Raw genomic sequence first — 25,147 nt, forward strand, 5'->3', positions numbered from 1 at the left:
AGGCTGGAGGGCAGTGGTGCGATCTCGGCTCACTGCAGCCTCAACCTCCAGGGCTCAAATGATTCTCCTGTCTCAGTCCCTCAAGTAGCTGAGATTACAGGCACTCACGACCATACCTGGCTAATTTTTGTAGAGATGGCATTTTGCCATGTTGGTCAGGCTGCTCTCAAACTCCTGGGCTCAAGCGATCTGTCCGCCTCGGCCTCCCAAAGCACTGGGATTACAGGCGTGAGCCGCCGCATCCAGCTGCATCTGTGGGTACTTTCCAGCCTGTGGCATTTGGGGTCCTCCCTGCAGGGGGGGCGGGTTCTAGGAACATCTACCTACTGGCCAAACCCACTCCCCTAACCTGGTATCCAAGAGCCCCCAAAAAAGCTTCCTTCCTCTCCCCTCCAAGTTTTCCCAAAGAGGAAGAGGAATGATCTCAGCCTCTGGCCTCCCCATCAAATACAGGAGAACCGATAGCAGTGGCTGAGATCTTGCCTTCGCCTGCTCCCCATCCATTGACTCCCAGAAGCCTTCACATTCTGTTACATATGAGAAAACCAACCGAGGCTTGGCGAGGCTTGCTCAGAATAAGTCGATTTCAATTTAGACTGAGAACTGTCTGACTCCAAAGCTGCCCTTCCTAGCACCCAATGCCCAGTTCTCTGCCTTCTCAAGCAGCTCAAATCCTGGCCGAGTCACTTGAGCCTATCTGTATCTCTGTTTCCTCATTTATAAGATGAGTGAGTGGATGAAATAAGATCTGAGATGCTAAGCCGGGTACAGTGGCTCACGCCTGTAATCCCGGCACTTTGGGAGGCCAAGGTGGGCAGATCACCTGAGATTGGGAGTTGAAGACCAGCCTGACCAACATGGTGAAACCCCGTCTCTACTAAAAATACAAAATTAGCCAGGTGTGGTGTCGCATGCCTTTAATCCCAGCTACTTGGGAGGCTGAGGTAGGAGAATTGCTTGAACCCGGGAGGCAGAGGTTGCAGTGAGCCAAGATGGCACCTTTGCACTCCAGCCTGGGTAACAACAGTGAAACTCCATCTCAAAAAAAAAAAAAAAAAAGATCTGAGATGCTGCCCCGTGCTAATAAACCAGGCCCTGGTCCCTATTAGGAGAGGTCTGGAATTTTGACCTAAGGGGGGTGCTCAGAGACACACCATGCACCCTGCTGGCATCCTGTTCAAGGCCCCCAAGACGGAGATGGAGAGACACAATGACAAGCGGGGAGGGAATGCTTTGAATGGCTTGGCGGGGGAGAGGGCCCTCGGCTGCCGGTGACAGCCTGAATAAGAATTCTGCAATTCATCCTCTGATGACTCAGCTAGTTGGACCGGCGCCTCTGCCAACCCTGGGGAGCATGAGTCAGCAGCTGAGGGGGCCGATGGCAGGAGAGATCGCTGTGGTCCATGTGAGCAGTGACTGTAGGGAGAACGGCCTGTTCCCAGCTCCTAACCCCAAGGCGGAGCATCTGCCTCTGCGGTCGGACACACACGGGCCTCAGGTTCTTAGCCATGTGGCCAAGCCTCCTCCCTCAGACCCGATCTCTCCTCCTTTGCACTAGTGCAGTCACAGCCCCAGAAACGCAGGGGTCACGTCTGCTCCCCACAGCCTTGGTGAGCAGCCGTATCTGCAACAAGAGACTCTGCTCCTCCCTCCTCTTCACTCTTTCCGTGGGGTTAGATTGACCTCCCAAGCACAGCAACGAAGCCCATGCCGGAGAAGAGGAGAAGGAGGGACGTGGCGCAGGCCAGGTACATGGCTGGGCAGATGGCCACGGCGTCCTTCCCTGCTTCTGGGGGTTGGGGAATGGGTTTCTCGGGGGTTGATATTTTTGCTCAGGGGCCAACTCAGAAAACCTTCCTTCACACTTGGAAACAGCCGTATCTATGTTGCCTCCCGTGATCGTAGGTTAGGGACGGTCCATCCACTTATTCACTTATTAGAAGAAAACAGCCAAAGCAAGCCAAGGTGCAGCAGACCCCCGAGTCCAGAGAGCTGCTGGTGGCACAAGGCCGCAGAGTGAGGCGCACACGCAGACCTCACCCCCTCCAGCAATGCCTGCCTGCCATGCCTGGCAGCTCTGATCATCATCTAACTTTTTTTTTTTTTTTTTTGAGACAGAGTCTCTGTCACCCAGGCTGGAATGCAGTAGTGCAATCTCAGCTCACTGCAACCTCTATCTCCCAGGTCCAAGTGATTCTCCTGCCTCAGCCTCCTGAGCAGCTGGAATTACAGGCACCCGCCACCATGCCCAGCTATTTCTTCTATTTTTAGTAGAGACGGGGTTTCACTATGTTGGCCAGGCTGGTCTGGAACTCCTGACCTTTAGTGATCTGCCCGCCTCAGCCTCCCAGAGTACTGGGATCACAGGCATGAGCCACCGCACCCGGCTTCACTGCCTAACTTAGATTGTTCACATGCAGCTCCTTCCCTGCCTACAAAACCCTTCAGGAGGACAAGGGCTTCTAATTCATAGTGGGCACTCCATAATCAGGTATTTTGGAGATATCTATTGGTTGAAATAACGAATGAGTGAATGTATGCTAAAGCCTAGTCACTTTCGTTCAGATCGCATATACACTCCAGGGCAGGTGGCAACTCTATTGAGGGGGTGAGACCCTTCTGCAAAAGAGATTTATTAATTATTCCTTTCCTTGGAAGGGAGGCATGAGTAAGAATGAAGTTATTTAAGCTCAGTGGCTCATGCCTGTCATCCCAGAGCTTTGGGAGGCGAAGGAAGGAGGATTGCTTGAACCCAGGAGCTCGAGACCAACCTGAGCACTATAGCGAGACACCATCTCTACAAAAAGTTTAAAAATTGGCTGGGTGTGGTTGTGTGCACTTATAATCCCAGCTACTTGGGAGGCTGAGAGCAGGAGGATCGCTTGATCCTGGTAGGTGGAGGTTGCAGTAAACTGAGATTGTACCACTGTACTCCAGCCTGGGTGACAGAGCGAGACCCTGTCTCAAAACAAAACAAACAGAAAGATAATAACCCCTCCCTGCTGGGCTTTTTATTTTTCCATACCTCTCTAACCTTCTAACATACTCTACCCTTTCATTATGTATTCTGCTTATTGTTACCGATTTTCAACCCCTGTAGAATGCAAGCCCCATGAGGACGGGGGACTTTGTTTTGTTCACTGATAGGTCCGGAATAGTGCCTGGGCTATAGTACATGCAGAATGAGTGAATGAGTGAATGTATGCAGGAATGAGAGTGGGATGCAGTGTACATTTCCTCCCAGCCAGGCTCCTTTCTGCCTGCCATGCATACCACATGGATTCTCTTTTGGTCCTCTCAGGAATTCTATGTGGGGGGGGTATCACTCCCATCCCCATTTTATTTTTTTTATTTTTTTATTTTTGAGATGGAGTTTTGCTCTTTCGCCCAGGCTGGAGTGCAGTGGTGCGATCTCTGCTCACTGCAACCTCTGCCCCTCCAGGTTCAAGCGATTGTCCTGCCTCAGCCTTCCGAGTAGCTGGGATTACAGGCATGTGCCACCACACCCGGCTAATTTTTGTATTTTTAGTACAGACGGGATTTCACCATGTTGGTCAGGCTGCTCTCAAACTCCTGATCAGCCTCAAGTGATCCACCCGCCTCAGCTTCCCAAAGTGCCGGGATTACAGGCGTGAGCCACCACTCCTGACCATCCTCGTTTTAAAGATGAGGAAGGTAGCCGGGTGTGGTGGCTCATGCCTATAATCCCAGCACTTTGGGAGCCGTAGCCTGTGTATCGCTTGAGCCCAGGAGTTTGAGACCAGCCTGGGGAACATGGTGAAATCCCATCTCTACAAAAAATACAAAAAATTAGCCAGGTGTTGTGGCGTGTACCTGTAGTCTCAGCTACTTGGGAGGCCGAATTGGGAGGATCATCTGAGTCCGGGAGGTTGAGGCTGCGGTGAGCCATGATTATACCACTGCACTCCATCCTGGGCTACAGAGCTAGACCCTGTCTCAAAAACAAACAACCAAAGAAATAGGCAGCGTGCGGTGGTTCACGCCTGTAAACCCAGCACTTTAGGAGGCCAAGGCGGGAGGATCACAAGGTCAGGAGTTCGAGACCAGCCTGGCCAATATGGTGAAACCCCGTCTCTACTAAAAATACAAAAAAAAGTTAGCTGGACTTGGTGGCAGACGCTTGTAATCCCAACTACTCGGGAGGCTGAGGCAGGAGAATTGCTTGAACCCGGGAGGTGGAGATTGCAGTGAACTGAGATCACGCCACTGCACTCCAGCCTGGTGACAGAGCAAGACTCTGTCTCGAAAACAAACAAACAAAAAAACCATGAGGAAGGTGAGGCTAGAGAGATTATGCAACAAGGTCACCAGTAGTTAGGCAGAGGTGAAAGTCCACATGGCCACTCCTGGGCCAACTTCACCACACCCTGGGGGTCTGCACGAGAGACCTTCTGGGAATGCCACACCCCACTTAATCTGCCCAGGGTATTTCTCTATCTCCCTGCCCACCAATTTCATATGTGATCCCATTCCATCCCACAAAATATATCTGTGCCCTGAGGTACAGTTTCCCCTCAGCTAAGATTTTTTCCTGGTAGGAAAACAGGGAGTTCATGGAGACATAGAGGCAGCCTAGGACTGGGCAGGTGAGGTGTAAGGAGAGTGGGTCTGGGTTCAAGCTGGCCCGAGGCTCCCAGGCCTGGCACCCCCTGCCTTCCACCTGCAGAACAGGTCTTCAGAGGGAGGTATGTCTTGGAGCAGAGGGTTTTTGGGGTGGGCAGAGCTGTCCCTACAAGTTCAGCTCCAGGCAGCAGGAAATCCACAGAAATGTGAACAGGGGTTGGGTGCGGTGGCTCACGCCTATAATCCCAGCACTTTGGGAGGGCCAGGCGGGCAGATCATTTGAGGTCAGGAGTTGAAGACCAACCTGGTCAACATGGTAAAACGTCATCTCTACTAAAAATACAAAAATCAGGCTGGGCGCAGTGGCTCATGCCTGTAATTCCAGCACTTTAGGAGGCCATGGCGGGTGGATCACTTGAGGTCAGGACCAGCCTGGCCAACATGGTGAAACCCCATTTCTACTAAAAACAGAAAAATTAGCCGGGCCTGGTGGCACACGCCTGTAATCCCCGCTACTCGGGGGGCTGAGGCTCAAGAATTGCTTGAACCGGGAGGTGAAGTTTGCAGCAAACTGAGATCGCGCCATTGCACTCTAGCCTGGGCGGCAGAGTGAGACTCTATCTCAAGAAAAAACAAAAAACAGAAAAACAAAAACAAACAAACAAAAAATTGGCCAGATTAAGTGGGGTGTGGCTTCCCCGGAAGCCTTCATGCGCAGGCTTTGCCAGGGCTGACAAAGTTGTCCCAGGCTGGCCACGTGGGCTTTGATCTCTCCCCAACTATTTGCTCCCGTGTGATCCCTGGAGAGAGGAATGGAGACACTTGAATATCAGCAACAGGGGGCAGGATGCAGATCCTCCCTGCTCAGGAAGACACGCGTGGGTGTCTCCACCCACGGGAGAGCCTGTTGCAGGCGCCGGAGAGAGCTCCTGGTGCCTCCTGTGGGGGCTCCTGCACTTGGCCAGGGAAGGGCCTCCTCTTTGGTGTTTTTTTTTTTTTTACGTTTATGTTTATGTTTATTTTTCGAGATAGGGTCTTGCTCTGTTGCCCAGGCTGGAGTGCAGCGGTGCGATCTCAGCTCACTGCAACCTCTGCCTCCCGGGTTCAAGCGATTATCCTGCCTCAGCCTCCAGACTAGCTGGGACTACAGGCCCCTGCCACCATGCCCGGCTAAGCTTTGTATTTTTAGTAGATTTTAGATTTTACCATGTTGCCCAGGCTGGTCTCAAACTCCTGACCTCAGGTGATCCGCCCACCTCAGTCTCCCAAAGTGTTGGGATTACAGGCTTGAGCCACCACACCCGGCCTCCTTGGTGTTTAGATGGGGAAGGGGGTGTATCTCTGTGATCTGTCAGGGTGTTCCCAGGCAGGGCACTAGGCCAGCTCCTGCCTCATCAAAGGATCAAGACTGGAATTTCCCTCCATTTCCTATCATTTTAGTCCTCATCTGAGGACCACAGCTGCCAAGTCTGTCTCTCACGAGCACATGCTGGGCATAGGTGAGGGGCAGAGCCCTACATAAGCACCCCTATGCCCTGTCCAACCTCCCTCCAGAAGCCCCTGTCCTCAGACAGAAGGTGCATCCTCTCCACTTTGGGTCCTTCTCCCCTTCCAAGAAAGGGGTTCAGGGCAAGGAGAGCTTAACGCAGCTCCACCACTCACTAACTGGGTGACGTCTGCAGAGGTTACTTAGCCTCTCTGAACCTCTGTTCTTCGTCTGTAAAATGATCACAGTAAGATATGCCACGGGGTTCCTGGAATAAATGAGATTAATAACATAAACAAACCAGGTGCAGTGACTTGTGCCTGTAATTCCAGCTACTCAGGAGGTCGAGGCAGGAGGATCACTTGAGTCCAGGAGTTCAAGACCAGCCTGGGCAACATAGTGAGACCCTGTCTCTACAAAATACTTTTTTCTTTTTTGAGACAGGATCTCGCTCTGTCAGCCAGGCTGGAGTGCAGTGGCGCAATCTAGGGTCACTGCAACCTCTGCCTCCTGGGTTCAAGCCATTCTCCTGCCTCAGCCTCCTGAGTAGCTGAGATTACAGGTGCCTGCCACCATATCCAGCTAATTTTTGTATTTTTAGTAGAGACGGGGTTTCACCATGTTGGCCAGATTGGTCTCAAACTTCTGACTTTAAGTGATCCACCCTCCTCGGCCTCTCAAAGTGCTGGGATTACAGGCATGAGCCACTGTGCCTGGCCCATCTCTACAAAATATTTAAAAATTAACAAGGCATGGTGGTGCGTGCCTATAATCCCAGCTACTCAGGAGGCTGAGGTGAGAGGACCGTTTGAGTCTGGAAGTTTGAGGCTATAGTGAGCTATGATGGCATCCCTGCACTCCAGCCTGGATGACAGAGCAAGACTGTCTCTTAACAAAACAATAGGCCAGGCGTGGTGGCTTATGCCCGTAATCCCAGGACTTTGGGAGGCCAAGGTGGGCGGATCTCCTGAGGTCAGGAGTTCGAGACCAGCCTGGCCAACATGGCGAAACCCCATCTCTACTAAAAATACAAAAATTAGCCTGGCGTGGTGGCGCTCACCTGTAATCCCAGCTATTCAGGAGGTTGAGACAGGAGAATCACTTGAACCTGAGAGGTGGAGGTTGCAGTGAGCCGAGCTTGCGCCACTGCACTCCAGCCTGGGTGACAGAGCAAGTCTCTGTCTCAAATAATAAATAAGTAAATAAATAAATAAATAAATATAACAAGGCCAGGGCGGGGTGTTGGATGATCCTAATCACTGCTGTTGTCTAGCAATGACAATCAGAGACATCCTCACCACTTGGAGACACATCTGTCCCATGGCCTGGACAGTGACATTTTCGGGACAGGACACCAACTCTTCTGAACAATTGGAGACCCCATGCCAAGCATGATCTCTCTGGATTCCCCCCTTTCTGAAGCCTGCAGAACACCCTCCTAACGCCCGCAGAACGCCCTCCTCGAACTGGCATTTTCCTTCAGACGGACAGTGATGCTGTTGCTTCTCTAAGTTGCAATCACAATTGCGTCAGCTCCTCTGAGGTTCCTCCCAGGTCTCCTTAATTGGATTTGGAACATTTGCAGACAGACAGTCGCCTAAGGTAACTTCTAGAAGGCTAATATCCTCTCCTAAACTGAGTTTCTTCCTAATTAAGTTCTCAGAAGGAAATGTTCACTTTGGAGTACTTCACTGTTGGGCCCAAGCACTGCCCATTGTGCAGTATTCAGTTTATCTGTTGTTGGCTTTTTTTGTTTTTGTTTTTGTTTGTTTGTTTGTTTAAGACGGGGTCTTGCTCTGTCGCCCAGGCTGAAGTGCAGTGGTGCGATCTCAGCTCACTGCAGCCTCCGCCTCCCAGGTTCAAGCAATTCTCCCACCTCAGCCTCCTAAGTAGCTGGGATTACAGGTACCTGCCACCATGCCCGGCTAATTTTTGTATTTGTAGTAGAGACAGGGTTTCACCATGTTGGCCAGGCTGGTCTCAAACTCCTGACCTCAGGTGATCCACACACCTCGGCCTCCCAAAGTGCTGGGATTACAGATGTGAGTCACCACGCCCGGCCCGTTTTTGTTTTTTCAGAGATAGGGTCTCACTCTGTCGCCCAGCCTGGAGTGCAGTGGTGTGATCATAGCTCACTGCAGCCTCCAACTCTTAGGCTCAAGCAATCCTCCCACCTCAGCCTTCCGAGTAGCTGGGACCACAGGTGTGCGCCACCATGCCCAGCTAATCATTTTATTTTTTGTAGAGGAGGGATCTCATTGTGTTACCCAGGCTGGTCTTGAACTCCTGGGCTCAAGTGATTCTCCTGTCTCAGCCTCCCAAAGTGCTGGGATTACAAGCATGAGCCACTGCACTTGGCCCATATCATGCAGTATTAAGGGGCATAGGAGGAAAGTGTAGACCCAAACAGTTCCTAACCCCTAAATTCTTACCATCCAGTAGGGAAAGCAAAATGAATACATGGCAGTATTTTCAGTAGAGACAGGGTTTCACCATGTTGGCCAGGCTGGTCTCAAACCCCTGACAATGGAAAGCAAGCCAGTGCTGAACTCTGTGTGTGATCCTGTGGGTCCTATTGCAAGAATTTTCAGGTTCAAAGGACAGACAGCAGAGGGTGGTTTGGGGGGAAAGGTGGAAGCCCTAGAAGGCTCTGTGGACCACAGATCTGCAAAGGAGGGGAAACATTCCAGAGAGGAGTGTGTGTGGCCGGAGACTGGCCACAAAAGACCCCCAGAAGTTGAAGTGGGGGCAGCGAGTGGACCTGCCTAATTGCAAGAGATGGATGGCAAAAACAAAAATCAGATCTTGTGATGGGAGGAGAGGAACAGATGTGGCAAATCTAGATGTGCCCCCAACCCCGTGTTTACAGATAACTTCCCAGTTTCCCCTTTCACCCACACAGCTTCTGCTCATCTTCTGCAGAACAGGCACGGCGGGGTGGGGGCCAGGCGCAGTGGCTGACACCTATAATCCTAGCACTCTGGGAGGCCGAGGCAGGTGGATCACTTGAGGTCAGGAATTCGAGACCAGCCTGGCCAACTTGGTGAAACCTGTCTCTACTAAAAATACAAAAATTAGCCAGGCGTGGTGGCGCATGCCTGTAGTCCCAGCTACTTGGGAGGCTGAGGCAGGAGAATCGCTTGAACCCGGGAGGCGGAGATTGCAGTGAGCAGAAATCGCATCGCTGCACTCCAGCCTGGGCGACAGGGCAAGACTCTGTCTCAAAAAAAAAAAAAAAAAAAAAAAGAGGCACTGGGTTTGTTGGGAAACGTGGGGAGCCCTGGGGAGGCCCTGCAATTACCACAGCCCTGGCAGACGCCCATTACAAAAGCACAAACACACACACACACACGCACGCACGCTCATTCATCCAGCCAGCGGAACTAACGGTCTACTGGACAGGAAAGCCCTGTTGGAGAGAGAGGGTGGGGAATCCCGCCCAGGCCAAGGGGGACAGCCCTGCTGCCTTCCACCTGCTGCAGAGCTGCTGACCGGCTCTGATTCAACCCGGAAAACCAGCCCGGTGTTTTGGACACAACATGACCTTTTACCTGTGGGCCTCTCGGGATTCTCAGAAACAGCAACAGGTGGGGGGTTGGGGGGTTCCCGAGCCTGGGGCTTTCCTTCTGGGCTCAGCCCCCACCTCCGCCCCCACTTCCCTGATGAGCTGCTACCAAAGATAGACAAGAGCAAATGGAGTTTGGCATGTCATTTCCTGAAAGGATGGGGACTTGAAGACAAGGTCCCCTGGGCCCAGTTCCCGGAGTTTAGGTTCAAGAACGAGATGCTTGATCCACCCAAAGCAGAACGGCTTCTGCTAGCTCTAAATCGGTGGCTCAGAAAGAGAAGGGGGCTCCCAAACCTCCTAGACCCTAAAGCTCCTCTGTTGGTCTCTCTAATTTCCCTGGTGTCCCCTGTCCAGGAGCAAGGCCGTGGACACACAACAACTGCCTCTGCTTCCTGAGATGCTGATCCTTGGACCAAGCTGGCCAGTCCAGGGCTGAAGGGCTCAGGAGGAGGGAGAGGTCTCTGCCTGCAGGGCCCCAAGCATCTGCTGTCCCTGGCACGACCCGGGTTGTCTGGGTCTGGGGCCAGTCTCCTAGGGGAATGAGCTGGCAGGCTGGGTTGTACCCAGGGAGTGTGCCTGGAGGGAGACAGCCGTCGTGGTTCAGGCTGTGAATAACAGGAGCCTCATCTCTGCCCCAGAGCTTCAGGGAAGGGAGCACCTGGCACAGAAGTGACTAAGAGAGCAGGTCTGGGCGGGTAGCTGACGTGCAGCAAACAAGGGAATAGGAGGTTCCCCCAGGTTCCCACACACGGAGCAAATCCCACGGCCTGCCCTTTGGGGTCCTCCATGTCCAGACCCTCCAACCTGGTTTCTGCACACAACTGCTTCTCCAGGCTGAGAAGTCCTCCCGACCAGCCCCCAACCATACCCCTCTGCTCTATGCCAAGGTCACTGGACCCTTCCTTGTCTGCTCCAGGCCTCACACATCCCCTCTCTAGGGGCCTAATCTGATCTCATGTGTCACTCAAGAGCCTCTTGGTGTAAATCTCCTTAGAACCTTTTTTTTTGAAACAGGGTCTCACGACCAGGCACAGTGGCTCACGCTTGTAATCCCAACACTTTGGGAGGCCAAGGTGGGTGGATCACAAGGTCAGGAGTTCGAGACTAGCCTGGACAGCTTAGTGAAACCCCGTCTCTACTAAAAATACAAAATTAACTGGGCATGGTGGCAGGTGCCTGTAATCCCAGCTACTCAGGAGGCTGAGGCAGGAAAATCACTTGAACCCAGGAGGTGGAGGCTACAGTGAGCCGAGATGATGCCACTGCACTCCAGCCTGGGCTACAGAGTGAGAGTCTGTCTCTTTAAAAAAAGTTGTGAAGGAAGGGGCCAATGAAGGAACTCATAGGGAGCAGTGGGTCACACGGTGAGGGGCTTGAAGTATCCTGGGTTGGGGATAGGGGACAGGCATGCAAGGGTCACGTCGGGGGAACAGCTGAGATACGGAGAAACAGGATGAAGTCTGGTTAAGAGCTGGGGCTGCTGGAGCCAGTCTCTCTCTTAGCTGAGTGACTTTGAGCAGGATAGCAAATCCTCTATCTGTCAGTTTCCTCATCTTTCAGATGAGAATAGGACCAATACCTTATTTTGTTATTTTAAGAGAAAGAGTCTCTCTCTGTCATCCAGGCTGGAGTGCAGTGGCATGATCATAGCTCACTGCAGCCTTGAACTCCTGTCCTTAAGCTACCCTCCCTCCTCAGCCTCCGGAGTAGCTGGGACTACAGGTGCATGCCACCACACCCAGCTAATTATTAGTATTATTACATTTTTTTCTTTGGCGGACAGAGTCTTGCTATGTTTGCAAGACAGAGTCTTGCTGTGTTGCCCAGGCTGGTCTCCAATCCCTGGCCTCCAGTTCCTGGCCTCAAGTGATACTCCAGTCTCAGCCTCCCAAAGTACTGGGATTACAGGAGTGAGCCCCCACATCTGGTCCCCAATACCCATTTTTAATTAATTATTTATTTATTTTATTTTTTATTTTTTCTTGAGATGGGAGTCTCCCTCTGTCACCCAGGTTGGAGTACAGTGGCGTAATCTCGGCTCACTGCAACCTCCACCTCCCGGGTTTAAGCATTTCTCCTGCCTGAGTCTCCCTAGTAGCTGGGATTACAGGCACCCACGACCATGCCCGGCTAATTTTTATATTTTTAGTAGAGACGGGGTTTCACCATGTTGGCCAGGCTGGGCTTGAACTCCTGACCTTAAGCAATCTGCCTGCCTCAGCCTCCCAAAGTGCTGGGATTACAGGTGTGAGCCACCGTGCCTGGCTGTCAATAACCATTTCTTAGTTGTATGAAAATGAAATAGAATAATGAGTATGAAACAGGGCCTAGCAAACAGCAACTGCTATATGTATCTTAGCCCTGTTATTGCTGCAGTTTGGGGATGGGAACTTCAAAAACTCTAAAGAAAAGGCAAGCAGGGCCGGGTGTGATGGGTCACGCCTGTAATCCCAGCACTTTGGGAGGCCGAGGCTGGCAGATCACCTGAGGTCGAGAGTTCGAGACCAGCCTGACCAACATGGTGAAACCCCATCTCTACTAAAAATACAAAAATTAGCTGGGCGTGGTATGGGAGGCTGAGGCAAGAGAATTGCTTGAACCCGGGAGGCAGAGGTTGCAGTGAGCCGAGATCGCGCCATTGCACTCCAGCCTGGGCAACAAGAGCGAAACTCCATCTCAAAAAAAAAAAAAGAAAGGCAAGTAGACCCTGAGAGCTGAAAAACAAATGGATTCGCTGATCAAAGCCACCTAAACAAATTACAGAAGCAACCACAAATCCAGACTAAGGCGGGCAGGAATTTTTAGACTCTTTGCCTCAATCTTCCCTCCAGCCCTGCCAGCATGGGAGACTGGCCTGGGGAATCCCGGGGGCACTGTGTCGTTTCTTCTGTCCCTTCCAGATGGAAGCTTCTTTTCTAGCCCTGGGAGAAGGCTCATTCCTGCTCTGCTCAAGGCTAGCCTGGTCTGGGCCCTGAAAGAAAAGGAAATTGTCCCCTGTAGTACCACAGAGGGTGGCCCTAGACTGACCTCTTTCACCCCTAATGGAGCTTTCCACAAGCTCTGGCTCCTGAAAATCCTGCCCTGAAACCTGGAGCCCACTGGGCATGGTGGCTCACGCTTGTAATCCCAGCACTTTGGGAGGCCGAAACAGGAGGATTGCTTAAGCCCAGGAGTTTGAGGCCAGCTTGAGCAACACAGCAAGACCCCATTTCTACAAAAATTTTTAAAAATTTTTTGAGTGTGCTGGGTGTGCTGGCGTGCGCCTATGGTCCCAGCTACTAGGGAGGCTGAGGTGGGAGGATCACTTGAGCCCGAGAGCTTGAGGCTGCAGTGAGCCATGATCATACCTCTGAACTCCAACCTGGGTGACAGAGAGAGACCCTGTCTCAAAACAAAATCGAAAACAAATGAACAAAAAAAAACAAGGGCTGTCTTATTTGGTGGCCAGCAGCTGACTGGCCATTGAGGGCTATGGCCATTATGGCCTCAGCCACAGTGGAACCTCCTTAGCTGGATCCTCCTCCAGTTCTTCCCTTGATCCCCTGACTTTGGCAGTGGAATCCTGTTCCTCCCCATAGGAGCATATCAGCCTTGAAAGGCCAGAAAACAGTGCAGGGACCCATTTCTTCCAGCTGGTCCAACGCGGTGCCCCACCCAGCACTCCAGCCCTGCCTGGAAGACGCTAGATGCTGTGAGCTTCCCCAGGCCTGGGTTGTTTACCCCACTTGGGGCAGGAAGGCCCTGTCCCTTCCCTTGCCCCCGTGGGGATGACTCTATCCCCTACGCATTGTTTCCCTTCCGCTGGAATTTCTGTTCTTGAGGACTTCATGTTCTACCCCTCGCATAACGGTTTCCTCCTGTCCAGACAGGGCTGGCCACCAGCCAGGACCTTGACCATTCGTGCAGAGGATGGGGGCCGAACACAGCAAAGGGTTGAAGCAGGAAGAGGGAAGCTGGAATTCCTCCTTGGTCAGGGCCTTGGGGCCCCTTCTGCAGGGGCCTGCGGTGCATCCACTGTGGATGGGACTTCAGGCCCAGGCCACCACGCCAGAATACATATGTATATATATTTGTATTTTCTGTGGAGACGGTGTCTCACTATTTTGCCCAGGTCAGTCTCGAACTCCCAGGCTCAAGGGATCCTCCTGCCTTGGCCTCCCAAAGTGCTGGGATTACAAGCATGAGCCAATGCACCTGGTCCCCAATACCCATTTTTTTAGTTTAGTTGTATGAAAATGAAACAAAATAATGCTATGAAACAGGGCCTAGCAAACAAACAGCAAGTGCTCTGTGTATACTAGCCCTGTTATTGCAGAAGTTAGGGGAAGGGAACTTCTAAAACTCTAAAGAAAGCCGGGCGCGGTGGCTCACGGGTGGAATCCCAGCACTTTGGGAGGCCAATGCAGGCAGATCAGTTGAGGCCAGGAGTTTGAGACCACCCTGGCCAATATGGCGAAATCCTGTCTCTACTAAAGATACCGAAAACAGCCGGGCGTGGTGGCGCATGCCTGTAACTCCAGCTACTCGGGAGGCTGAGGCAGGAGAATCGCTTAAACCTGGGAGACGGAGGTTGCCGTGAGCTGAGGTTACACCACTGCACTCCATAGCAAGACTTTGTCAAAAGAGAAAGAGAGAGAGAGAGAAAGAGCGAAAGCGAGAGAGAAAGAAAGAAAGAAAGAAAGAAAGAGAGAGAGAGAGAGAGAAAGAAAGAAAAGAAGAGAAAGAAAGAGAGAGAGAGGGAAAGAAAGAAAGAGAGAAAGAGGGAAAGAAAGAAAGAAAAGAAAGAAAGGAAGAAAGAAAGAACTGTAAAGAAAAAGCAAGCCAGCTGGACGCAGTGGCTCATGCCTGTAATCCTAGCACCTTGGGAGGCCGAGGCAGGTGGATCACCTGAGGTCAGGAGTTCAAGAGCAGCCTGACCAATATGGTGACACCCCATCTCTACTAGAAATAAAAAAATTAGCTGGACGTGGTGGCACGTGCCTGTAGTTCCAGCTACTTGGGAAGCTGAGACAGAAGAATTGCTTGAACCTGGGAGATGGAGCTTGTAGTGAGCCCAGATTGTGCCACTGCATTCCAGCCTGGGCAACAGAGGGAGACTCCATCTCAAAAATAAAATAATAATAATAATAATAAAATAAAAAGTAAGCTGGCCGGGCACAGTGTCTCATGCCTGTAATCCCAGCACTTTTGAAGGCCGAGGCAGGTGGATCACTTGAGGTCAAGAGTTCGAGACCAGCCTGACCAACAAGGTAAAACCCCGTCAACTCCACCTCTACTAAAAATACAAAATTAGCCGAGCGTTATGGTGCACGCCTGTAATCCCAGCTACTTAGGAGGCTGAGGCAGGAGGATCACTTGAACCCGGGAGGCGGAGTTTGTGGTGAGTTGAGATTGTGTCATTGCACTCCAGCCTGGGCGACAGAGGGAAACTCCGTCTCAAAAAAATAAACAAAAAGAAGAAGAAAAAGCAAGTGGTCCTTCCCCTCTGCAGTGGAGCAGTGTGAGTCCATGGAGCAAACCCAGACTGGACAGATGAGGAAGTTCCACGCAGGTGGGGACACACCTTACCACCTTGAATTTCATACTCCCAAATCGGGTTCTCCCACCATTTGCTGCAAGACTCTCCCAGCTAATGAGGAAGGCAAGCAGCTCAGATGGACAGGTAACAGTTGAGGCTAACCTCCAATGTCATCACAGGGCGGGGGTGGTTCTGCCCAATACCTGTGCCAACTCTCCCGCCCATGGCACTCCCTGTAGGGTTTTGTGAGGTGGGGAGAAGGGGGAGATGCGGTGGGGATGGCGATGGCCTCCTCTCCCCTGTCTTAGCCCCTAGCCTGAGTGCTGATTGCAGGAAAGAGCCCAAGTCTGATCCCGGGGGTGCTCAATGCGCCCAGATCATCCTGCCCTCCCAGACAGAGCAGAAGGGGCCCCGGAGCCCTCTGTCAAGTCTTAGCTGCCTCATATCTGCCACCTCAGCCCCCCTCACCCCAACAGCCCCGGCTCCCTCCCCCAGGCACCCGGGAAGGCAGTGCTGTTGTGTGAATAACAGTTACTTGTCCTGCCTGCATCAGCCGTTACTCACACAGTCCCGGGAGATCCTGACACAGATGGGGGTGGGGGCACAGAGGGGACTCATCAGAGCCCCCCAGGAAGGGGACTCAGGGGGAGAGCATGTCATAACTCTCAGATGGGGCTTCGGGCCCTGGGAGTAGTGGGGGCATCAGGATTGCAGCCTGGAGGGGTCAGCTTTGGATCCGAGTTCTTTGTTTGCTTCTTGTCTTTTTAATTTGTTTTTATTTTTTAATTTTTATTTATTTATTTATTTTGAGACCGCTCTGTCACCTAGGCTGGAGTACGGTGGCGCGATCTTGGCTCACTGCCACCTCTGCCTCCTGGGTTCAAGCAATTCCCAAGCCTCAGCCTCCCAAGTAGCTAGGATTACAGGCGTGTGCCACCACACCCAGCTAATTTTAGGATTTTTAGTAGAGACGGGGTTTCACCATGTTGGTCAGGCTGGTCTTGAACTCCTGGCCTCAGGAGATCCACCTGCCTTGGTCTCCCAAAGTGCTGGGATTACAGGCATGAGCCACCACACCTGGCCTTTTTTGTCTTTTTTAGAGACAGGGTCTTGCTCTGCAGCCTAGGCTGGACTAGAGTGCAGTGGTGTGATCACGGCTCACTGCAACCTTGACTTCCTGGTCTCAAGAGATCCTCCCGCCTCAGCCTCCCCAGTAGCTGGGACCACAGGTGTGCACCACTGCACCTAGCTAATTTTTTAATACATATATTGTAGCGACAGGGTCTGGCTATATTGCCCAGGCTGATCTCAAACTCCTTGCCTCTAATGATCCTCCAGTCTTAGCCTCCTGAAGTGCTGGGATTACAGGCATCAGCCACCTCACCCAGCCTAGATCCAAGTTCTTACTGTGGTATTAATGACCTAGTTGGGCCTCCTTTTCCACAGTTCTTACAGGCCAGTGCCAGACACAGGCCAGAGCCCTTGGTGGCCTTCCCTGCCCCAGCAGGCCCTGGCCCAGCACGACCTGCTGACTGTCTGGAGTTTCATCACCTTAGAGCCTCATTGGTGAATCCCCTTCTAGCACAGGAGACCCTCAGGAAACCAGTGGGCTCAAGAAAAGATATATTTTTTAAAATAATTACTTTTCTTTTTTTTTCTTTTGGAGACAGAATTCCACCCTGTCACCCAGGCTGGAGTGCAGTTGGGGCGATCTCACCTCACTGCAACCTCCACCTCCCAGGCTCAAGCAATTCTCCTGTCTCAGCCTCCCGAGTAACTGGGACTACAGGCGCGCACCACCACACCTGGCTAATTTTTGTATTTTTAGTAGAGACGGGGTTTTGCCACGTTGGCTAGGCTGGTCTCGAACTCCTGACCTCATGTAGTCCGCCCATGTGAGCCGTACGCCACCAGCCACGATGCCCAGCCAAATAATTACTTTTTTTTTTTTTTTTAATGAGATAGAGTCTTGCTCTATCACCAGGCTGGAGTGCAGTAGTGCGATCTCAGCTCACTGCAAGCTCTGCCTCCCAGGTTCAAGCGATTCCCCTGCCTCAGCCTCCCAAGTATCTGGGACTACAGGCGGCCGCCACCATGCCTGGCTAATTTTTTTTTTTTTTTTTGTATTCTAGTAGAGATGGGGTTTCACCATGTTGGCCAGGATGGTCTCCGTCTCCTGACCTCATGATCTGCCCGCCTTGGCCTCTGAAAATGCTGGGACTACAGGCAAGAGCCACTGCCCCCGGCCACCATTTTTGCAACCTACTAACGACTTTCTATGGATGGATGCAGTTGGTCATTTCATTCATACCATCCGCTGAAATCCTAATGCCACTGTTATGGAATTGGCATCATTATCTCTACTTTACAGGAAAGAAAATTAAGACTCAGGGGAGAAATGGGAGTTGCCCAGAATTTCCTGCTTGTACATGTGCCCTGTCGGCTTCTTTCTCCAGAGACTGGGGCTCTAGAAGGTAAAGGACCTGTTCACGATCGCCCAGCTCACTGGAGCCAGAGCTGTCTGGTTATAGCAATGGCCATGGGAGAAGTCTGCGTCCAGAGCAAACACAAAGGGCTCAGTAGCAGGTTGGATTTGAATCCTTTTTTTTTTTCTTTTTTTTTGGAGATGGAGTCTCGCTCTGTCCAAGCAGGAAGAGGCCAGGCGAGGTGGCTCACCCCTGTAATCCCAGCACTTTGTGAAACTAAGGCGGGCAGATCACTTGAGATCAGGAGTTCGAGACCAGCCTGGCCAACATGGCAAAACCCCATCTCTACTAAAAATATAAAAATTAGCCAGGCGTGTTAGCATGGGCCTGTAATCCCAGCTACTCGAGAGGCTGAGGCAGGAAAATCGCTTGAACCCGGGAGGGGATTGCGCCATTGCACTCCAACCTGGGTGATAGAGCAAGACTGTCTCAAAAAAAAGGAGGAGGAAGCCAAGTGTGGGCAGCCTCGGGAAAGTCCTCCTACGTGGCATTCGGTCTGCACTGGAGTAGAGGGCGTTGCTCAGGACAGAGACTACCTCACAAGCTCCTGAGACAAGGACAGTGTTGGTCCTATGCATCTGCGAAGGTCCCATAACAACCACCCCAGAAAAGACCCTAAGATGCCACTCCATGCTCTCACTGGCTGTGTTGGAGGAAAGCAGGAGGCAGCCATCCCATGTCCCACACCCCCGGCCAGGTCAGGCTCCCTGCTCCCCTCCTCTCCTACACCTCACTGCTCTCCAGCCCTCCAGCCACAAACCTACACAAGGGGGTCTGGGATGGGCTCTGGGCCCAGACAGATCCAAGCAAGCCAGCAGCCCAGCTGCATGACAGTGGTGAGGAGAGCTGAGGGGGCCCAGGGTGACTCAGATGAAGAGACATGCAAGAAGCCTGCTCCCATATGGAGGGGAAGCTGGGCAGATAAGAATGGCCAGTGACTCTGGGCATGCTGGCATCCCATGGTGAATTCCATCTGCACTGTATCACCCAGACGGCTTCATCCCTGGGACCTCCACCCCCACCCATCCCCCACTGACCTTGGGTCACCGTCTCTCTGGACACCTGCCCAGCTCAGTGGGAGCTCAGTCTTTATAGTCACATCCAGAGCCAGAATGGAGACTAGCAAAAGAACGTCTGTGTCCAAGCCAGGCGTGGTGTTGCGAGCCTATAGTTCCAGCGACTCAGGAGGCAGAGGTGAGAGGATCACTTGAGCCCAGGAGTTCAAGACCAGCCTGGGCAACATAGTGAGACCCAATTTCTTTGTTTTCTTTCTTTTTTTTTTTTGAGATGGAGTCTTGCTATATTGCCCAGGCTGGAGTGCAGTAGCATGATCTCGGCTCACTACAACCTCCACCTCCCAGGTTCAAGCAATTCTCCTGCCTCAGCCCTCCTGAGTAGCTGGGACTACAGGTGTGCATCACCACACCCGGCTAATTTTTGTATTTTTAGTAGAGACGGGGTTTCATCATATTGGCCAGGCTGGTCTTGAACTCCTGACCTCGTGATCCGCCCGCCTCAGCCTCCCGAAGTGCTGGGATTACAGGCTTGAGCCACTGTTCCCAGCCGAGTGAGACCCCATTTCTACAAAAATGTTTTAAATTAGCCAGGCCTGGTGGTGTGCGCCTGCAGTCCCAGCTACTCAGGAGGCTGAGGCAGGAGGATGGCTTGAGCCCAGGAGGTAGTGGCTGCAGCGAGCCATGATCGTGCCACTGCACTCCAGCCTGGGCAACAGAGCAAGACCCTTTCTCAAAACAAACAGGAACAACAACAAAGAACAGAATGTGTCCAGAGAAAGGCGTAAAGAGAGACACAAGAATGTAGAGAATGAGGAACGAGTTCTGGTAAAGATGAACGAAAGTGAATCAGAGTCAGATAAGCCACATATGTGGGTAAAGAGAAGTGGATGGAGGGATGGAATCTGGCCAGTGGCCTGGAGGCACCCTGCAGGCCTGCACTACCTCATCAGCCTGACGTAATCAGCTCCATGTTCACATCTACCCCAGGAGCCCGGTGCTCCACCATTCCCTGCCATTGAAATTCCCCTTGGTGACCACACTGGGGGCACATTCCTTTTCTCTTTTTTTTTTTTTTTTTTTTGAGACAGAGTCTCACTCTGTTGCCCAGGCTGGAGTGCAGCAATGCAATTACGGCTCACTGCAGCCTCAAACTCCTGGACTCAAGTGACTCTCCTGTCTTAGCCTCCCAAGAAGCTGGGACTACAGGCACATGCCACCATGCTTGACTCATTTATTTATTTTTTGTAGAGGTTGGGGGGGGGGGTCTCCCTGTGTTGCCCAGGCTGGTCTCGAACTCCTGGCCTCAAGCAATCCTGCCACCTTGGCTTCCTAAAGTGTTGGGATTACAGGCATGAGCCACTGTGCCCGGCCAGGAAGGCTCATTCTTGCCTGATGGTGAAAGGACATTTGGAATACCCACATTACAAAAGACCCAGCACTAAGTGCCCTCAGGAAATAAGACACTTTGATGGCCACATAAGTTTAAATACAGAAATAACTGTAAGACAAGGGAGAATGCAAATATATAAAAGTGATAAAAGCTAAAAATTAGCTGGGTGTGGTCGTGCATGCCTGTGGTCCCAGCTGCTCAGGAGGCTGAGGTGAGAGGATTGTTTGAGCCCAGGAGTTGGAGGCTGCAGTGAGCCATGATCACACAACTGCACTCCAGCCTGGGCAACAAAGTGAGACCCTATCTTAAAAAAAAAAAAAAAAAATAGACTGGGCGCGGTGGCTCATGCCTGTAAACCCAGCACTTCGGGAAGCTGAGGTGGGAAGATCAGTTGAGCTCAGGAGTTTGAGACCAGCCTGGCCAACATGGTGAAACCCTGTCTCTACTAAAAATCCAAAAATTAGTTGGGCATGTTTGTGCAGGCCTGTAGTCCCTGCTACTCAGGAGGCTGAGGCACGAGAATTGCTTGAACCCGTGAGGTGGAGGTTGCAGTGAGCTGAGATCGCGTCACTGCATTCTAGCTTGGGTGACTGAGTGAGACTCTGTCTCAAAAAAAAAAAAAGATAAAATTGGCTATGGTAGAGCATACATTTTTTTTAAGTGATTAAAGCATTATAGGTGCCATAGAGGAATCGATGAGAGATGGGAGATGGAGGCTGCAGGGGCCTAGCCTGGAAGAGTGGGTCGAGCTCAACTCCATTTTGGTAAATCAAGTCTCCTTCCTCCCTGGTATGCTCAGAAAATAAGGATACACTTGGGACAAAAGCGGGGTACATCCATGACCTGCAGCCCAGAGGGGAATATCTTCCTGGGATCTGAAACCTGCAAAGTCAGCCAATGGGAGCGTGTCAGGACCAGGGAGACAGCAGAAGGATCTGGTATGAAACAGATGAGAGGGGCTGCCAGGCATCCCCTCGGGTAAGCAGCCAGCCCACTTCCGAGGCATTTAACGCCCACGCTCCGCTAAATGCTGAGAGACGTAAAAACAAACACCTCAAACATCCATCCCTCAAGGAGCTTGCATTATATCAAAATGAACAGCTCAGACTGTCTGGGTTCCTGTCCTGGCTCTGCTGCCCACCAAGAGCGGCTGCCACAAAGGAGAACATTTGTTCTTGCCAAATGTGTTGGACATTTGGCAGATGACGTTTTATGTAATTCTCATTGCAACCTTGAAAGATGGGAATCGTTATCTGTCTTTTACAAATAAGAATACTGAGGCTGTGATCCCTAAATCATAGGGAAGGAAGGAAGGGAGGGAGGGGGAGGGGAGGAAGAGGAGGAGGAAGAGAAGGAGAAGGAGAAGGGATTAAGTTTTACCTAGTCACATAGCCAATGTCAGATTCCTAACTAGTGGCCGGGTCTGTCTGATCCAATGATCACTATTCTCTCATTTATGGTGTAGTCACTGTGTGGCTTCAACCACAGTGGACCTCTCTGGACCTAAGTGCCCTCACTTGTAAATTAAAAGAACTGGGTTAGGGCCAGGCATGGTGGCTCATGCCTGTAACCACAGCACTTTGGGAGGCTGAGGCAGGTCGGTCACTTGAGCTCAGGAGTTCAAGAACAGCCTGGGCAACGTGGCAAAACCCCGTCTCTACCAAAAATACAAAAAATTAGCCAGGTGTCATGGTGTACATCTGTGGTCCCAGCTACTGGGAGGCTGAGGTGGGAGGATCACTTAATCCCGGGAGGTAGAGGCTGCAGTAAGCTGAAATGGCACCACTGCACTCCAACCTTGAGCCCAGGAGTTTGAGACTAGCCTGGGCAACATAAAGAGACCCTCATCTCTGAAAAAAAAAAAATTAGGCGGGGCACAGTGGCTCACATCTGTAATCCCAGCACTTTGAGAGGCTGAGGAAGGCGGATCACTTGAGGTCAGGAGTTCAAGACCAGCCTGGCCAACATGGTGAAACCCCGTCTCTACTAAAAATACAAAAATCAGCTGGGCGTGATGGCAGATGCCTGTAATCCCAGCTACTTGGGAGGCTGAAGCACTATAATTGCTTGAGCCTGGGAGGTAGAGGTTGCAGTGAACTGAGACCACACCATTGCACTCCAGCCTGGGCAAGAAGAGCGAAACTTTGTCTCAAAAAAAAAAAAAAAAAAAAAAAAAAATTGGCGGGGCATGGTGGTGCACACCTGTAGTCCCAACTAGCAACTCCTCAGGAGGCTGAGATGGGAGGATCTCTTGAGCCTGGGAGGTCGAAATGCAGTGAGTCATGACTGTGCCAAGGCTGGGAGCCATGATTGTGCCACTGCACTCCCACCTGGGCAACAGAACGTGGCCCCCACTCAAAAAAAAAATGCAATTGTGGACAAGCAAGGGCTACATTGGGTAAGGCAGCACCAGTTAGAGTGTTAGGGAGTTTAAAGAGAAATGACCGGCCAGGGGCTGGCAGGGGAGAGGGGATACAGCAGGAGAGGAGGGGGAAGTCAGTCACAGAGCCAGGGTAAGGAAGGGCCCCTGGACAGGCTGTCCCAGAGCCACGATCTTAAATAAAAGGCAGTGGAGGGCCAGGCGCAGTGGCTCACGCCTATAATCCCAGCACTTTGGAAGGCCGAGGTGGGTGGATCATGAGGTCAGGAGATCGAGACCAGCCTGGACAACATGGGGAAACTAGTCTCTACTAAAAATACAAAAATTAGCCAGGCATGGTGGCGCATGACTATAATCCCAGCTACTCGGGAGGCTGGGGCAGGAGAATCGCTTGAACCTGGGAGGCGGAGGATGCAGTGAGCCAAGATCACACCTCCGCACTCCAGCCTGGGCAACAGAGCAAGACTCCATCTCAAAAAAAAAAAAAAAAAAGGCGGTGGAGACACCCAGCACTGGTTCCCTCCTAGAGAAGGGGAGAGAGCCGAGCCCAAACACAGGCTATTTTTGGAGTTGTGTTGTTTGGAGAGCAACCAAGCCAGAAATAGTGCTGTTAGCAAGACCCTGCCTTCTCCAACCCCCGGCTCTCCCAGTGAAATCACCAGGAATCAGGGAGGCTGGGCCCCACATTCCAGGGAGCCTGTGTAACAGGCAGTGCTCTCTTCCCCACCGGAAGGGCTTGGGAGCTGAGCATTTGACTGTAAAAGGGATTCTGGGATTCCAGAGGGACAGAGGGACTGAGTCAGAGAGAGAGAGAGAGAGAGAGTGGAAATGGGGGGCAACCTCCTGCAGCGGAGGAGAGGGGACAGGAGGGAAGGCTCGGGGAAGAAAGGGTAGGCAGGAGGTCAGAGAGAAGGGAGCAGGAAGCGGGAGGCTCAGAGAGAGAAAGGGAAAGTGAAAAAGAAAGCGGGGAAGACAGAAGCAAAGAGGAAGAGCAGAGATCGGGCCAGAAGGCGGGAGGTCAGGGGGCGATGGGTGGTGGGAAGGCCAGTGTCCACCCAGGGCCCACCAGTGGGTGGGGGACAGAGGGACAGTCATGGAAAATCTGAGTGTGATCTACAGTCACGAACCACCTGCTCAGGGACAGATGGAGACATCTTTCCCAGTAGCTGGAATCAGAACTTTCCCCTGAAATCCACAGCCCGGTAACTCACTCTCTTATCTCTGACCCTCCGGAAGCCAGAGATCTAGCTATTTCATCAGCATGGACTTTTCTTTCTGTGCCCGTGTGACCCCTTACAAAAGAGCTCAAGCTGGAAAGAGAGGATTGGATCAAGAAAGAGAGAACTTAGGATTCAGGGGAAAAGGGGAAAGTGATAACCCCTTGAGTCAGATTCTGAGAAGAGGGTTTCTCTGAGAGGTCGGTGGGGAGCAGCCCGCAGGCAGCTGGACCCTGGTATGGAAGGGCTCGGCTCCTAAGGCAGGTAAGAGAAGGCAGGGCCACGTGCATGAAGTAGAGGCAGGGGTCATGGCCAAGTCTGGGTTCTTTTTATTTATTTATTTTTTTGAGACAATCTTGCTCTTTCGCTCAAGCTGGAGTGCAGTGGTGCAATCTCAGCTCTCTGCAACCTCCACCTCTTGGGTTCAAGAGATTCTCCCACCTCAGGCTCCTGAGTAGCTGGGACTACAGGTACGTGCCGCCATGCCTGGCTAATTTCTGTACTTTTTTTTTTTTAGTAGAGACGGGGTTTCACTCCAAGTCTGGGTTCTAGAGTAGCTAGGCAGCCCCAGCTCATCAGAGTCAATGGAGAAATCGGAAACTTCACATGGACCCGATAACACAGGTTTTGCCTCAGTTTCTAATACACATCTTCCCTATGCCTACAAGTTTCCACCGATTTGGGAAAAGACCTCTTAGTAAGTCAGCCACTTCTGAGTCCAAAGTAAAACGCTCCCCACCCTCCACCCCAATCAGGACTAGAGCTGCTCCCCAGCTCTCCCGTGCCCAAGGATGGAATGTCCTTTTTGCTCTTTGCTTTGTCCTTTGAGACAGGGTCTCTCTTTGTCACCCAGGCTGGAGTGCAGTGTTGCAATCATAGCTCACTCCAGCCTTGAGCTCCTAGGCTCAAGCGATCCTCCTACCTCAGCTTCCCATGTAGCTGGGACCATAGGCACACGCCACCACACTGGGCTAATTTTTTTTTTTTTTTTGGTAGAGATGGGATCTCACTGTGTTGCCCAGGCTGGCTCAAATTCCTGGGCTCAAGTGATCTTCCTGCCTCAGCCTCCCCAAAGACTGGGATTACAGGTGTGAGCCACCACACCCAGCAGGGGTGTCTATTTTGGATTGGCATCAGGATCATCCACCCAATCTATGAGTGGGGACTAAATTGGTGACTGCTCCTGCAGAGCTCTGGCTGTCCACAGAAAACAGCAGAGACCTGGCAAGGTATGGGACAATGGCTCCTGGTATGACAGGCAGAGGAAGGGATGGAGGCTAAGCTGCAGCCTGGAGAGGCTGGCGTCAGACACCTGAGGAGGCCACATCTAGCTATGTCTAGACCCATTGAACTTTCAAGTCTTCGAGGCTTGGTACTGCCTGATCCCTGTTCCCCTCTGATCCTTAAGGTCAGAGAGCAAAGCCTTGCGGGGTACTTTTTTTTTTTTTTTTTTTGAGACAGATTCTTGCTCTGTCACCCAGGCTGGAGTGCAATAGCATGAT

At 51.9% G+C, this 25,147-nt stretch overlaps 17 annotated features.

The window, feature by feature from the left end:
* Positions 420–1,127: an enhancer, noted in NCBI's record as "H3K27ac-H3K4me1 hESC enhancer chr7:100742673-100743380 (GRCh37/hg19 assembly coordinates)". NCBI's record gives its function as "activates a minimal SCP1, AML or CMV promoter by ChIP-STARR-seq in primed H9 embryonic stem cells {active_cell/tissue: H9 hESC(primed)}" and the evidence as "EXISTENCE:reporter gene assay evidence [ECO:0000049][PMID:30033119]".
* Positions 1,128–1,835: an enhancer, noted in NCBI's record as "H3K27ac-H3K4me1 hESC enhancer chr7:100743381-100744088 (GRCh37/hg19 assembly coordinates)". NCBI's record gives its function as "activates a minimal SCP1, AML or CMV promoter by ChIP-STARR-seq in primed H9 embryonic stem cells {active_cell/tissue: H9 hESC(primed)}" and the evidence as "EXISTENCE:reporter gene assay evidence [ECO:0000049][PMID:30033119]".
* Positions 1,196–1,490: an enhancer, noted in NCBI's record as "tiled region #10406; HepG2 Activating DNase matched - State 5:Enh, and K562 Activating DNase unmatched - State 1:Tss". NCBI's record gives its function as "activates a minimal TATA promoter and a strong SV40 promoter by Sharpr-MPRA in HepG2 and K562 cells {active_cell/tissue: HepG2 | K562}" and the evidence as "EXISTENCE:reporter gene assay evidence [ECO:0000049][PMID:27701403]".
* Positions 1,243–1,387: an enhancer, noted in NCBI's record as "145 bp enhancer 54 fragment used in the MPRA reporter construct; PK_construct_3480". NCBI's record gives its function as "activates an SV40 promoter by MPRA in HepG2 and K562 cells {active_cell/tissue: HepG2 | K562}" and the evidence as "EXISTENCE:reporter gene assay evidence [ECO:0000049][PMID:23512712]".
* Positions 1,288–1,432: an enhancer, noted in NCBI's record as "145 bp enhancer 153 fragment used in the MPRA reporter construct; PK_construct_3835". NCBI's record gives its function as "activates an SV40 promoter by MPRA in HepG2 and K562 cells {active_cell/tissue: HepG2 | K562}" and the evidence as "EXISTENCE:reporter gene assay evidence [ECO:0000049][PMID:23512712]".
* Positions 1,310–1,320: a transcriptional cis regulatory region, noted in NCBI's record as "NFE2L2 motif; enhancer 54 activity is reduced when this motif is scrambled". NCBI's record gives its function as "necessary for full enhancer 54 activity {active_cell/tissue: HepG2 | K562}" and the evidence as "EXISTENCE:site-directed mutagenesis evidence [ECO:0005528][PMID:23512712]".
* Positions 1,355–1,365: a transcriptional cis regulatory region, noted in NCBI's record as "NFE2L2 motif; enhancer 153 activity is reduced when this motif is scrambled". NCBI's record gives its function as "necessary for full enhancer 153 activity {active_cell/tissue: HepG2 | K562}" and the evidence as "EXISTENCE:site-directed mutagenesis evidence [ECO:0005528][PMID:23512712]".
* Positions 8,837–9,787: an enhancer, noted in NCBI's record as "H3K4me1 hESC enhancer chr7:100751090-100752040 (GRCh37/hg19 assembly coordinates)". NCBI's record gives its function as "activates a minimal SCP1, AML or CMV promoter by ChIP-STARR-seq in primed H9 embryonic stem cells {active_cell/tissue: H9 hESC(primed)}" and the evidence as "EXISTENCE:reporter gene assay evidence [ECO:0000049][PMID:30033119]".
* Positions 8,837–9,802: a biological region, named in NCBI's record as "H3K4me1 hESC enhancer GRCh37_chr7:100751090-100752040".
* Positions 9,583–9,802: an enhancer, noted in NCBI's record as "active region_26399". NCBI's record gives its function as "activates an Ori minimal core promoter by ATAC-STARR-seq in GM12878 lymphoblastoid cells {active_cell/tissue: GM12878}" and the evidence as "EXISTENCE:reporter gene assay evidence [ECO:0000049][PMID:35858748]".
* Positions 9,788–10,738: an enhancer, noted in NCBI's record as "H3K4me1 hESC enhancer chr7:100752041-100752991 (GRCh37/hg19 assembly coordinates)". NCBI's record gives its function as "activates a minimal SCP1, AML or CMV promoter by ChIP-STARR-seq in primed H9 embryonic stem cells {active_cell/tissue: H9 hESC(primed)}" and the evidence as "EXISTENCE:reporter gene assay evidence [ECO:0000049][PMID:30033119]".
* Positions 12,940–13,441: an enhancer, noted in NCBI's record as "H3K4me1 hESC enhancer chr7:100755193-100755694 (GRCh37/hg19 assembly coordinates)". NCBI's record gives its function as "activates a minimal SCP1, AML or CMV promoter by ChIP-STARR-seq in naive and primed H9 embryonic stem cells {active_cell/tissue: H9 hESC(naive and primed)}" and the evidence as "EXISTENCE:reporter gene assay evidence [ECO:0000049][PMID:30033119]".
* Positions 18,452–18,685: a silencer, noted in NCBI's record as "fragment chr7:100760705-100760938 (GRCh37/hg19 assembly coordinates)". NCBI's record gives its function as "represses an EF-1alpha promoter that drives an FKBP-Casp9 reporter gene in an ReSE screen in HepG2 liver carcinoma cells {active_cell/tissue: HepG2}" and the evidence as "EXISTENCE:reporter gene assay evidence [ECO:0000049][PMID:32094911]".
* Positions 18,452–19,153: an enhancer, noted in NCBI's record as "H3K27ac-H3K4me1 hESC enhancer chr7:100760705-100761406 (GRCh37/hg19 assembly coordinates)". NCBI's record gives its function as "activates a minimal SCP1, AML or CMV promoter by ChIP-STARR-seq in naive H9 embryonic stem cells {active_cell/tissue: H9 hESC(naive)}" and the evidence as "EXISTENCE:reporter gene assay evidence [ECO:0000049][PMID:30033119]".
* Positions 22,770–23,389: an enhancer, noted in NCBI's record as "H3K27ac-H3K4me1 hESC enhancer chr7:100765023-100765642 (GRCh37/hg19 assembly coordinates)". NCBI's record gives its function as "activates a minimal SCP1, AML or CMV promoter by ChIP-STARR-seq in primed H9 embryonic stem cells {active_cell/tissue: H9 hESC(primed)}" and the evidence as "EXISTENCE:reporter gene assay evidence [ECO:0000049][PMID:30033119]".
* Positions 22,976–23,270: an enhancer, noted in NCBI's record as "tiled region #9046; HepG2 Activating DNase unmatched - State 1:Tss, and K562 Activating non-DNase unmatched - State 8:EnhW". NCBI's record gives its function as "activates a minimal TATA promoter and a strong SV40 promoter by Sharpr-MPRA in HepG2 cells, with weaker activation in K562 cells {active_cell/tissue: HepG2 | K562}" and the evidence as "EXISTENCE:reporter gene assay evidence [ECO:0000049][PMID:27701403]".
* Positions 24,010–24,627: an enhancer, noted in NCBI's record as "H3K27ac hESC enhancer chr7:100766263-100766880 (GRCh37/hg19 assembly coordinates)". NCBI's record gives its function as "activates a minimal SCP1, AML or CMV promoter by ChIP-STARR-seq in naive H9 embryonic stem cells {active_cell/tissue: H9 hESC(naive)}" and the evidence as "EXISTENCE:reporter gene assay evidence [ECO:0000049][PMID:30033119]".

The sequence above is a fragment of the Homo sapiens genome, chromosome 7, assembly GCF_000001405.40.
Source record: "Homo sapiens chromosome 7, GRCh38.p14 Primary Assembly".
Classification (NCBI taxonomy): Eukaryota; Metazoa; Chordata; class Mammalia; order Primates; family Hominidae; genus Homo; species Homo sapiens.